Here is a 13,122-nt window from a genome sequence, read left to right on the forward strand (position 1 = left end):
AGCTTATTTTTTTCTCTTTCTTCATCTGCCTTACTTAGTGCAAGGTGCTATAACAAAATAGCATAGACTGGGTGACTTCAACAACAGGATTTTTTCTCACTTTTCTGCTGGTTCCTGGTCAGGGCTCTCTTCCTGGGTTGCAGGTGGCTGACTTCCCACTGTGTCCTCACCAGAAGGAAGAGAAATGGCTAATCTCTCTGCTTCTGATGAGGAAAATAATTCTATGATGGGGATCTGCTCTCATGAGCTCCTCTAAACCTGATTACTTTTCCAAAGCCTCCCCCACAAATGGAGCCAATTGGGAGTTGGGGATTCAGCATGTGAATTTTCTGGAGACACAAGCGTTAAGTTCATAACACCATCACATTAAACTAAACTCTTGCTTATTAACGTGCATTAACTTTCAATTATATAAGAACTCCAGTGAATCTGCCTTCTCAATTAATGTTATACAAATTCTTCACACTATATTTTCATCTGACCGTGCTGTTCTGCTGCTGAGACATGACACGCTGATGCTGACTTGTGAGCTTCTGCTGGCTCATTTCCTTCACCTAAGTCCCCACCTCCCTAGAAGCTTACAATGAGGTCTCCTCCTTGAAATGCTGTGACCAGTCTGTAGACTTAAGGGTATGGGATTAATTTCACCTCTTTAGGCATGCGTCAACACTTAAAATGAAAAGTTCCTTAGTAAAGTAAGGATCACTTCATTGTAGTTACCGTGGAAAGAAAAACCTGTTTCCTGCTCTGATCTCTAACACCTCAACCTCCCTGTAGAGCCTCACAAGGGCTGAGAAAAGCCAGATGCCGTTGGAAATAGTATTGCCCCTAATAAAATAGAATGGCTATCCCTGCCTAAACCTTGACTTCCTAAAGCTTGGAACACTTTTTCTTCGTTGAGCCCCTTCCTCGCTGCTGTGCTGCAATCCAGGGAAGGGGGTTCAGCCCCCTTCACTGAACCTTTCCCCATCTCTTCCAAAACATCTGTTTCTGAGGAGTCCTGTCCTATAGAGGTCTTTCTTCCAACCAGATTTCTCCTGCACCTTTTACTCCCACTTGCAGAACTCCCATGTACAAGTTTCTTTATTGCCTAGTTCTTTTATTTGCTCATCAAAACCCACATCTAACGTAAACAAAAAAGTGTGGAGTGTGCACATGACACAAACACACATAGCCATGTATAAATACACATAAACACATCCCTCAACATAAAACCCTTTGTGGCTCATATATTTAAAAAGACATAAAAAAAGAACTGAAGACAACCATGTGTGATCTCTTAGCAGAATAGATTTATTATTTGATTGCTTGCAGAATAAAGCCTATCCTTGAAAGCTCTGCATCATGGGCAGTGAGCTCAGTGGTATCTGGAGGACAGGGCACTGGCCACTCCAGTCACCATCTTCTGCCAGGAAGCCTGCACCTCAGGGGTGAATTCTTTGCCGAAATGGATTGCCAAAACGGTCACCAGCACATTTCCCAGGAGCTGTTGAGATGAAAGGAGACAATAAAGATGAACCCATAGTGAGCTGAGAGCTCCAGCCTGGCCTCCAGATAACTACACACCAAGCTTCCACCCAGAATCAAGCCTATGTTAACTTCCCTCAAAGCCTGAGATTTTGCTTTCCCATTAAATGCAGGTAGTTGTTCTTCTTGCAGCACTAGTCACTGGCCATAATTTAAATCTTGTTATCTTCTTGCCACCATGAACCCTGTATGCTGTAGGCTGAAAACGTTAAAAGAAACACACGCTCTCACACACACACAAACACACGCGCGCACACACACACACACACACACAGAGCTGACTTTCAAAATCTACTCCAGCCCAAATGTTTCAATTGTTCCTCACCCCTGGACATACTTTGCCCCCATCTGGAATTAAAGGATATAAGTTTGTAATGAAGCATTAGCAGCATTTTATATGTGTCCAGCTGATATAGGAATAGCCTTAGCAATGTATGTTTGGCCACCAAAGTTCCCCACTTTGACTGAGCCAATATATGCCTTCTGCCTGCATCTTTTTAATGACCATACTTGTCCTGCCTCCAGATAGATGTTTTAAAACGAATAACAAAAATAGGGGAAAGGTGAAAGTTCTTTCTACCGAAATCTAATAAAGAAAAGTCATTTTCCTCATTTCCACCTCTCTTTTCTCAAAGTCAAAGTTGTCCATCTAGATTTTCAGAGGCACTCCTTAGGCCCTAAAACATTGCCACTGGGTCTCAGCCCAGTTAGTCCTCTGCAGTTTCTTCACTCCCAACCCCAGTATCTTCAAACAGCTCACACCCTGCTGTGCTCAGATCAATACTCAGTTGTCTAAGTTGCCTCGAGACTAAAGGCAACAGTGCTGAAACATCTCCTGGACTCACCTTGAAGTTCTCAGGATCCACATGCAGCTTGTCACAGTGCAGTTCACTCAGCTGGGCAAAGGTGCCCTTGAGATCATCCAGGTGCTTTATGGCATCTCCCAAGGAAGTCAGCACCTTCTTGCCATGTGCCTTGACTTTGGGGTTGCCCATGATGGCAGAGGCAGAGGACAGGTTGCCAAAGCTGTCAAAGAACCTCTGGGTCCATGGGTAGACAACCAGGAGCCTGTGAGATTGACAAGAACAGTTTGACAGTCAGAAGGTGCCACAAATCCTGAGAAGCGACCTGGACTTTTGCCAGGCACAGGGTCCTTCCTTCCCTCCCTTGTCCTGGTCACCAGAGCCTACCTTCCCAGGGTTTCTCCTCCAGCATCTTCCACATTCACCTTGCCCCACAGGCTTGTGATAGTAGCCTTGTCCTCCTCTGTGAAATGACCCATGGCGTCTGGACTAGGAGCTTATTGATAACCTCAGACGTTCCAGAAGCGAGTGTGTGGAACTGCTGAAGGGTGCTTCCTTTTATTCTTCATCCCTAGCCAGCCGCCGGCCCCTGGCCTCACTGGATACTCTAAGACTATTGGTCAAGTTTGCCTTGTCAAGGCTATTGGTCAAGGCAAGGCTGGCCAACCCATGGGTGGAGTTTAGCCAGGGACCGTTTCAGACAGATATTTGCATTGAGATAGTGTGGGGAAGGGGCCCCCAAGAGGATACTGCTGCTTAATTTTTTTTATAGCCTTTGCCTTGTTCCGATTCAGTCATTCCAATTTTTCTCTAATTTATTCTTCCCTTTAGCTAGTTTTCTTCTCCCACCATAGAAGATACCAGGACTTCTTTTGTCAGCCGTTTTTCACCTTCTTGTCTGTAGCTCCAGTGAGGCCTGTAGTTTAAAGTTAAAGCATGTACCAATTTTTGAAAAGTTCAGGGATTGTGAAATGTGTTTTAGGCATAGGTCCAGGATTTTTGATGGGACACGTCTTAGTCTCATTTAGTAAGCATTGGTTTCCAAATAAGAAGTGCTATACTTATCTTTGAATATACTCTCTGTGGTTTTAGGCCATTATCTCTTAAGTTCTCATTAGTGTAGTGAAAAATCCTATAAAGCAACAGTTTCAGTGCAGGAATAGATTAATGTTATGTAATATAATATAAGACTGAATCCTTACTTCAATATCTACTTATCCGTACCTATTTGAAATAAATCACGCCTGTTTCATCTCAGCAAAAGTATTTTTTTTATATTCAGGTATGTATGTAGGCACCCGATGATGTGTATTTATCACTGGATAAGTGTATGTGCTGGCTGATGACCCAGGGTTTTGGTGTAGCTCTTCTATGCTCGGTAAAGATGATGGTAGAATGCTCTTTACCAGATACTATGGATTAGAATTAATTATCTTGTATAAATGCTAGGTTCACTTCTTAGGGAATCTTATTCTAAGACATAAGACATGTATTTGCATGGAAAACAACTCTTAAGAGGCAGGGACTGTTTTATTGACTAATAGTCCACACACTGTGACAGCTGGGATGTCACTGTAGTTTAGACATCTTTATCTGTAACTCAGTGCTGTTTCTGACATATTGGCCACTTAACATGGCAGGAAGTATTCATGCTGTTTTTTTCTTTATTTTTTCTTTGGGATTTTTATTTTTTGGTAGGTTTGGTTTTGCTTTTGTTTTTTCTCTGAACTCGATCCATGACCTTGGTAGATTATGACGTCAGAAACTCTGGAAATCTGGCTTATTGGAGGAGAGCTCTACCTTCCCCTAACCTATCAGGTTGATAGGAATTATAATAATATTGGTGGAATCCTTTCAGACTTCATAATCCTGTGTAAGGCTTATATCTGCTCAAAGTGTTAGGCGGCTAAAAGACCAGAAAGATACATGTTGACCTGCGCAACAAAGCTGCACATATTGCACTTGTTCTTTGGAAGTTAAAATAAAAGTTGAATAAGAAAGGAAAGAAAAAGATTTGTCAACTTATCAGTATCTTCCAGTTACTCACATAATAATAAGTGACTTCTCTCAATCTAAGGATGGGTGAGAAAGATTTTTATTGGTATGCTGGTACAGATTATAGAGACTGAGGTGAACCCAAATTAGGGTCTCTTTAAGATAGGGGATCTGTGAGATGGGTGTGTATAGATCTTTGGCCATATCTGAGAGTCTGGTTGGGTTCCATTTGTAGAGCCTGACCTTTAAGAATGTGTCAGAGACTGGTGTCTAAGCCCGCTAAGGCCTAAACAAGTGAATCTTTTGAATCTCTCTTTTTTTTTTTTGAGACAGAGTCTTGTTCTGTCACCCAGGCTGGAGTGCAGTGGTATGATCTCGGCTCACTGCAACTCCTGCCTTCCAGGTTCAAGCAATTCTCCTTCCTCAGCCTCCCAAGTAGCTGGGATTACAGGCACTTGCCATCATGCCTGTCTAATTTTTGTATTTTTGTAGAGATGGGATTTCACCATGTTGGCCAGGTTGGTCTTGAACTCTTGACCTCAGGTGATCTGCCTGCCTTGGCCTCCCAAAATTCTGGGATTACAGGCGTGAGCCACCACTCCCAGCCTCTAAACAAGTGAATCTTAATTGCTCCTCCTCAGACTAAGGAATATCTAGGATCCCTCCTGTTTTCAAACAACTTCCCCATTTATCCAAAAACCAAGGCAGTGTTCTAAAAGTCATGTATAAACCCTTATTTCCTCTTATGCTTTTGAGGCAATATCTTTTAAGAGTTTGTTGATTTCTCCTTATCCATAACTGTCTTATTCCTCGATTTTTCCTATATCATTGCTTCTGACATTGATTAAATCCTAACTGATAAAACTGTTTCTTTACACAAGCAATTTCAAGTGTTTTCAAGCATTCTTTCCCATGTATTTTCAAACATTTGTTCAGCAAATATCTGTTAAATAAATGTCATAATTTTTAAAGTAGTGGGCATTTAAGTTAAATAAGTCAGAGAATAAAACTTTCCTCTGAAGATTATAATCTAGGTAGAACATACATAAAATTAATAATTAAGTTAAACAACAAAATAATTTCAGATATTATTAACTAAGAATGAAATTAAGGAGAAAGTATTCGAACAGAGGCAAAATGACAGAAGGAATCTGCCATGGGAAGGCATTGCCAAATAAAGTTTAGAAGCTGAAATAGTAAATTCAAAGCTCTGAAGCAGAAGAAAACAAACTCCTGCTGTGCCAGAGAGTTAGATAAAGAACCAGTGCCGTTGATATGTAAAGTGGAGAATAGCAGGTGGTATTGTTTCAGGGAAGCATAAACCTAAGGACATAAACTTGTCCTCAGTGGTAGGGAGTGAGAAGCCATTATAGAATTTTAACTCTGGTAATGACATAATCTCTAAGCAACCTGTACTATTGGCTGGATTACTATTCTAAGAATGACCTGTTTATCACAACTGTTTTGCTTAAAAAGCCCTTATTGCCTGTGGACAATTATTAGTTATTCTTTCAACTATTAAAAATCTTGTCATGCAGATGTGTGTGTGTGTGTGTGTATTCATTATGAATTTGCTTTCAATTAAGTTATCTTGAATTGGCAATATCTAAATCTAGATATAGCTCCCTAAGGGGTAAAGAGTGTATCCACTGCCCACCCCTCAACATCACGTCCTTGATTCCTTGATATCAAAGGGCAGTATAGTTTTGGGGGAGAAGAAAAAGAGAGAGAGAGAAAAAAAGATTGATTAAAAATGCATATTACCGACAAATTAGAGGGTGATGGCAGATGGGAGGCAGCAGAAGTACATTGCAGCTCCCACTCGGATGCACAGAGCAGCATGTGAAGTCTCCCATCAGGAATTTTTTTTGCAGAACCACCTGCAGAAATAAATCAAGAAAGCTGAGAGAACGCACACACCCTCTGAAAGAAGCAGATTGCTCCTGCAGGACCCGGGAAACACCCCAAATATTGTGAGTGCCCAAACTGTGGAAGTGGAAAAGGGGGACCGTCTACCCCCAAACACACATCCTCACTGGGGAACCTGAAGATCTAGACCACAGGAGAAGATTCTGACCTTACCTGGAGCTGAGTCAATTTAGAGGGCCAAGCAAAATACAGGGGTAGAGGAAGCAGCGGGAAAAGCCCTGTGGGCTCTCTGGGTCCCCTAGGAAGCCATTTCTGCCTTGCCTCACAGGGGTCATTTGGGAGGGCTGCCAGAGGAACTGGGAAAAGATGACAGGAAAAAGAAAATCTCCACCTGGCCAGATCTAGGGGCTGGGCAGTGGGGGGGTTGGTGGGGGGACATGAATTTGGTGTGCAGACTCCACTGGCAGGGAAGTAGGACAGCCCTACTTGGTTTCGCAGCTGGTAGCCTGGGGCAAGTTCTCAGCCTTGCTCACTGACTGCATGGAAACAGATTCGGTGCTGTTGCGGGGGAGGGTGCACGCTGGAAGTGAGACCAACCTTTTGAGTTGCATGGGAGCTGGGCAAGTCACGTGACTGCTTGCTTTCCCCCACTTTCCTGATGACCTGCATGACACAGCAGAGGCAGCCATAATTGTCCTAGGAACATAAATCCATTGACCTGGAAACTACACCCCCATCCTCCCACAGTAGCCACAGAAAGACCTGCCCAAGGAGACTCTGAGCTCAGACACGACTAGTCCTGCCCCCACCTGATGGTCCTTCCTTACTCACCCTGGTAGCTGAAGACAAAGGGCATATATTCTTGGGAGTTCTAGGGTGCCCCAGCCCCCCCAGCCACCACCACCTGACTGCCTCTGCTGATGCTTTCTAGAAAGTGCCACCTCCTGGCAGGAGGCCAACCAGCACAAAAATAGTGCATTGAACAACCAAAAGTAAGGACCCTCACAGAGTCCATTTCATCCTCTGCCACCTCCATTGGAGCAGGTGGTTGTATCTATGGCTGAGAGACCCACAGATGGTTCACGTCACAAGACTCTGTGCAGACAAACCCCAGTACCAGCCTGGAGTCTGGTAGACCTGATGGGTGGCTAGATCCAGAAGAGAGATAACAATCACTACAGTTCGGCTCTCAGGAAGCCCCACGCCTAGGAAAAGGGGGACTGTGCTACATCAAGGGAACACCTCATGGGACAAAAGTCTCAGCCTTGAGGCCTAGACTTTCCCTCTGACAGAGCCTACCCAAGTGAGAAGGAACCAGAAAACTAACTCTGGTAATATGAAAAACAAGGTTCTTTAACACCCCCCAAAAAATCATACTAGCTCACCAGCAATGCATCCAAACCAAGAAGAAATCCCTGATTTACCTGAAAAATAATTCAGAAGGTCAGTTATTAAGCTAATCAAGGAGGCATCCGAGGAAGGTGAAGTCCAATTTTAAAAAAACCAAAAATATGATACAAGAAATGAGGGGAGAAATCTTCAGTTAAAGAGATAGCATAAATAAAAAACATTCAAAACTTCAGGAAACAATGGATGAATGGATGCACTTATAGAAATGCAAAATGCTCTAGAAAGTCTCAGCAATAGAATCCAAGCAGAAGAAATTCAGAGCTTGAAGACAAAGTTTTTGAATTAACCCAATCCAACAAAGACAAAGAAAAAAGAATAAGAAAATATGAACAAAGCCTCCAAGAAATCTGGGATTATGTTAAACAATCAAACCTAAGAATAATCAGCATTCCTGAGAAAGAAGAGAAATCTAAAAGTTTGGAAAACTTATCCAGGGAAATAATCAAGGAAAACTTCCCCCACCTTGCTAGAGACCTAGATATCCAAATACAAGAAGCTCAATAAACACCTGGGAAATTCATTGCAAAAATATCATTGCCTAGGTACATTGTCATCAGAGTATCCAAAGTTATCTAAAGACAAAGAGAATCTTAAGAGCTGTGAGGTGAAACTACCAGGTAACCTATGAAAGAAAACCTATCAGATTAACAGCAGATTTCTCAGCAGAAACCGTAAAAGCTAGAAGTGAATATGGCCCTATCTTCAGCCTTCTTAAACAAAACAATTATCAGCCAAGAATTTTATATCCAGTGAAACTAAGCTTCACAAATGAAGAAAATACACAGTGTTTTTCAGAAAAACAAATGCTGAGAGAATTCGGCACTACCAAGCCAACACTACAAGAACTGATAAAAGGAGCTCTAAATCTTGAAATAAACCCTGGAAGCACATCAAAACAGAACCTCTTTAAAGCATAAATCCCATAGGACATATACAACAAAAATACAGATAAAAAGATACACAGGCAACAAATACCACGAAGAATGGAATAGTACCTCACACCTCAATACTGATGTTGAATGTAAATGGACTAAATGCTCCACTTAAAAGATACAGAATTGCAGAATGAATAAGAATTCACCAACCAGTTATCTGCCGCCTTCAGGAGACTCACCTAACACATAAGGACTCACATAAACTTAAGGTAAAGGGGTGGAAAATGACATTCCACACAAATGGACACCAAAAGCGAGCCAAAGCAGCTATTCTTATGTCAGACAAAACAAACTTTAAAGAAACAGCAGTTAAAAAAGACAAAGAGGGACATCATATAATGATAAAAGCCCTTGTCCAATGGGAGAATATTACAATTCTTAATATATATGCATCTAATACTGGAGATCCCAAATTTATAAAACAATTACTACTAGACTAGACAGCAACATAATAATAGTGGGGGACTTCAATACTCCACTGACTGCACTAGGCAGGTCATCAAGACAGTCTACAAAGAAACAATGGATTTAAAGAACAAATGGACTTAACAGATATTTACAGGACATTCTACCCAACAACTGCAGAATACACATTCTATTCATCAGCACATGGAACTTTCTCCAAGATAGGCCATATGATATGCCACAAAACAAGCCTCAATAAATTTTTAAAAATTGAAATTATATCAAGCACTCTCTCAGACCACAGTAGAATAAAATTGGAAATCAACTACAAAAGGAACCTTCAAAACCATGCAAATACAGGGAAATTAAATAACCTGCTCCTGAATGATCATTGGGTCAACAATGAAATCAAGATGGAAATTTAAAAATCATTTGCTTTGAAAACCGGCACAAGACAAGGATGCCCTCTCGCCACTCTTACTCAACATAGTATTGGAAGTTCTCGCCAGGACAATCAGGCAAGAGAAAGAAATAAAGCATATTCAAATAGGAAGAGAGGAAGTCAAATTGTCTCTGTTTGCAGATGACATGATTGTATATTTAGAAGACCCTGTCATCTCAGCCCAAAATCTTAAGCTGATAAACAGCTTCAGCAAAGTCTCAAGATACAAAATCAGTGTGCAGAAATCACAAGCGTTCCTATACACCAATAATAGACAAGCAGAGAGCCAAATCATGGGTGAACTCCCATTCACAATTGCTGCAAAGAGAATAAAATAAAATACCTAGAAATACAACTTCTAAGGGATGTGAAGAACCTCTTCAAGGAGAGCTACAAACCACTCACTGCTCAAGGAAATAAGAGAGGACACAAACAAATGGAAAAACATTCCATGCTCATAGATAGAAAGAATCAATATCTTTAAAATGGCCATACTGCCCAAAGTAATTTATAGATTCAATGCTATCCCCATCAAGCTACCACTGACTTTTTTCAAAGAATTAGAAAAAACTACTTTAAATGTCATATGGAATCAAAAAAGAGCCCATATAGCCAAGACAATCCTAAACAAAAAGAACAAAGCTGGAGGCATGATGCTACCTGACTTCAAACTATACTACAAGGCTACAGTAACAAAAACAGCATGGTACTGGTACCAAAACAGATATATAGACCAGTGGAACAGAACAGAAGCCTCAGAAATAATGCCACACATCTACGACCATCTGATCTTTGACAAACATCACAAAAGCAATGGAGAAAGAATTCCCTATTTAATAAATGGTGCTGGAAAAACTGGCTAGCAATATGCATAAAACTGAAACTGTACCCCTTCCTTACACCTTATACAAAAATTAACTCAAGGTGGATTAAAGACTTAAATGTGCAACCTAAAACCATAAAAATCCTAGAAGATAACCTAGGCAATACCATTCAGGACATAGGCATGGGCAAAAATTCACGACTAAAACATCAAAAGCAATGACAACAAAGGCCAAAATTGACATATGGGATCTAATTAAACTAAAGAGCTTCTGCACAGCAAAAGACTATCATCAGAGTGAACAGGCAACCTACAGAATGGGAGAAAATTTTTGCAATCTATCCATCTGACAAAGGGCTAACATCCAAAATCTACAAAGAACTTCAACAAATTTACAAGAAAAAACCTAACGACCCCATCAAAAAGTGGACAAAGGATATGAACAGATGCTTCTCTAAAGAAGTCATTTATGTGGCCAAGAAACACATGAAAAGAAGCTCATCATCACTGGTCATTAGAGAAATGCAAATCAAAACCACAATGAGATACCATCTCATGCCAGTTAGAATGGCAATTATTAAAAAGTCAGGAAACAAAAGGTGCTGGAGAGGATGTGGAAGAATAGGAAAAATTTTACACTGTTGATGGGTGTGTAAATTAGTTCAACCATTGTGGAAGACAGTGTGGCGATTCCTCAAGGATCTAGAACCAGAAATACTGTTTGACCCAGCAATCCCATTACTGGGTATATACCCAAAGAATTAGAAATCATTCTACTATAAAGACACGTGCACACGTATGTTTATTGTGGCACTATTCACAATAGCAAAGACTTGGAACCAACCCAAATGGCCATCAGCGATATAATGGATAAAGAAAATGTGGCACATATACACCATGGAATACTATGCAGCCATAAAAATGATGAGTTCATGTCTTTGCAGGGACATGGATGAAGGTGGAAACCATCATTCTGAGCAAACTAACACAGGAACAGAGAAACCAAACACCACACGTTCTCACTCATAAGTGGGAGTTGAACAATGAGAACACATGGACACAGGGAGGGGAACATCACACACCAGGGCCTGTCGGGGGGTGAGGGGGTTAGGAGAGGGATAACATTAAAAGAAATACCTAATGTAGATGACAGGTTGATGGGTGCAGCAAACCACCATGGCACATCTATACCTATGTAACAAACCTGCACATTCTGCACATGTATCCCAGAACTTAAAGTATAATAAGAACAACAAAATTACTTGAACTGACCGACAATAGTGACACAACCTATCAAAACCTCTAGGATACAGCAAAGATGGTGCTAAAAGGAAAGTTCACAGCCCTAAATGTCGATGTCAAAGAGTCTGAAAGAGGACAGACAGACAATATAAGGTCACACCACAAGAAACTAGAGAAACAAAAACAAACAGAACCAAAACCCAGCAAAAGAAAGGGAATAACTAAGATAAGAGGAGAACTAAATGAAATTAAAACAACTGCAAAAAAATACAAAAGCTAAATGAAATAAAAAGCTGGTTCTTTGAAAAGATAAATAAAACTGATAGACCATTAGCAAGATTAACCAAGAAAAGAGGAGAGAAGTGCAAATAAACTCAATTAGAAACAAAACAGGAGATACTATTACTGATACCACAGAAATACAAAAGATTATTCAAGGCTACTATGAACACCTTTACATGCATAAACTAGAAAACCTAAAGGAGACGTTCGAATTCCTGGAAAGATACAGGGCTCTAGCTTAAGTCAGGAAGAATTAGATACCCTGAACAGACCAGTAATAAGCAGCAAGACTGAAATGATAATAAAAATTTACCAACAACAAAAAAGTCCAGGACCAGATAGATTCACAGCTGAATTCTACCAGACATTCAAAGAAGAATTGATACCAATCCTATTGACAGTATTCTACAAGATAGAGAAAGAGAGAATCCTCCCTAAATCATTCTATGAAGCCAGTATCACCTTAATACCAAAACTGGGAAAGAACATAACCAAAAAAAAAAAACACTACAGATCAATATCCCTGATGAACATAGATGCCAACATCCTTGACAAAATACTAGCTAATAGCATCCGACAGCATATCAAAACCCATGATCAAGTGGGTTTCATGCGAGGGATGCACGGATGGTTTAACATACGCAAGTCAATAAGTGTGATACACAACATAAAGAGAATTGGAAACAAAAATCATGTGATTATCTCAATAGCCACAGAAACTGCATTCAACAAAATTCAACATCACTTTATGACTAAAACTCAGCAAAATCGGTTTACAAAGGACATACCTCAATGTAATAAAAGCCAGCTATGGTAAACACACAGCCAACATTATATTGAATGGGAAAAAGTTAAAAGCATTCTGTCTGAAAACTGGAATGAGACAAGGATACCCACTCTCACCACTTCTCTTTAACATATTACTGGAAGTCCTAGCAAGAGCAATCAGACAAGAGAAACAAGTAAAGCACATCCAAATTGTTAAAGAGAAAGTCAAACTGTCACTGTTTGCTGATGATATGATTGTGTATGTAGAAAACTCTAAAGACTCCTCCAAAACCCCCTAGAACTGATAAAATAATTCAGCAAAGTTTCTGGATACAAAATTAACGTACACCAATGAGTTGCTTTCTTACATACCAGCAATGACCAAGCTGAGAATAAAATCAAGAACTCAACCCCTTTTACAATAGCTGCAAAAAACAAAACAAAACAAAACAAAAACTTAGGAATATATACCTAACCAAGGAGGTGAAAGACATCTACAAGGAAAACTACAAAACACGGCTGAAAGTAATCATATAAGACACAAACAAATGGAAACACATGCCATTCTCATAGATGGGTAGAATCAATATTGTGAAAATGGCCATAATGCCAGAAGCAACC

The 13,122-nt window shown here is 40.4% G+C and overlaps 1 protein-coding gene across 1 annotated transcript, besides 4 other annotated features; it reads right to left on the bottom strand.

Moving 5' to 3' along the window:
• Window positions 1,269-2,862, bottom strand: HBG2 (hemoglobin subunit gamma 2). The gene is made up of 3 exons (NM_000184.3): window positions 2,718-2,862; window positions 2,373-2,595; window positions 1,269-1,486 (listed from the first exon to the last, which is right to left on the bottom strand). The coding sequence occupies exons 1-3, from the start codon at window positions 2,807-2,809 to the stop codon at window positions 1,358-1,360; spliced, it is 444 nt and encodes a 147-aa protein (NP_000175.1). The 5' UTR covers window positions 2,810-2,862; the 3' UTR covers window positions 1,269-1,357.
• Window positions 2,068-3,084: a non allelic homologous recombination region, noted in NCBI's record as "sub-region a', recombines with sub-region a within the HBG1 recombination region". NCBI's record gives the evidence for it as "EXISTENCE:nucleotide sequencing assay evidence [ECO:0000219][PMID:2060774]".
• Window positions 2,068-3,333: a biological region, named in NCBI's record as "HBG2 recombination region". NCBI's record gives its function as "recombination_partner: LOC106099064".
• Window positions 3,261-3,333: a non allelic homologous recombination region, noted in NCBI's record as "sub-region b', recombines with sub-region b within the HBG1 recombination region". NCBI's record gives the evidence for it as "EXISTENCE:nucleotide sequencing assay evidence [ECO:0000219][PMID:3401591]".
• Window positions 5,342-5,957: an enhancer, noted in NCBI's record as "OCT4-NANOG hESC enhancer chr11:5278491-5279106 (GRCh37/hg19 assembly coordinates)". NCBI's record gives its function as "activates a minimal SCP1, AML or CMV promoter by ChIP-STARR-seq in primed H9 embryonic stem cells {active_cell/tissue: H9 hESC(primed)}" and the evidence as "EXISTENCE:reporter gene assay evidence [ECO:0000049][PMID:30033119]".

This window comes from Homo sapiens, chromosome 11, assembly GCF_000001405.40.
Source record: "Homo sapiens chromosome 11, GRCh38.p14 Primary Assembly".
Classification (NCBI taxonomy): domain Eukaryota; kingdom Metazoa; phylum Chordata; class Mammalia; order Primates; family Hominidae; genus Homo; species Homo sapiens.

Bases quoted from the DNA above. Each gene is read 5' to 3' on its own strand.
- HBG2 (NM_000184.3), bottom strand. From the start codon at position 2,809: ATGGGTCATTTCACAGAGGAGGACAAGGCTACTATCACAAGCCTGTGG. The intron at 2,596-2,717 runs GTAGGCTCTGGT...TCAATCTCACAG, and splicing joins GGAGGAGAAACCCTGGGAAG to GCTCCTGGTTGTCTACCCAT. The intron at 1,487-2,372 runs GTGAGTCCAGGA...TCATCTCAACAG, and splicing joins TGGATCCTGAGAACTTCAAG to CTCCTGGGAAATGTGCTGGT.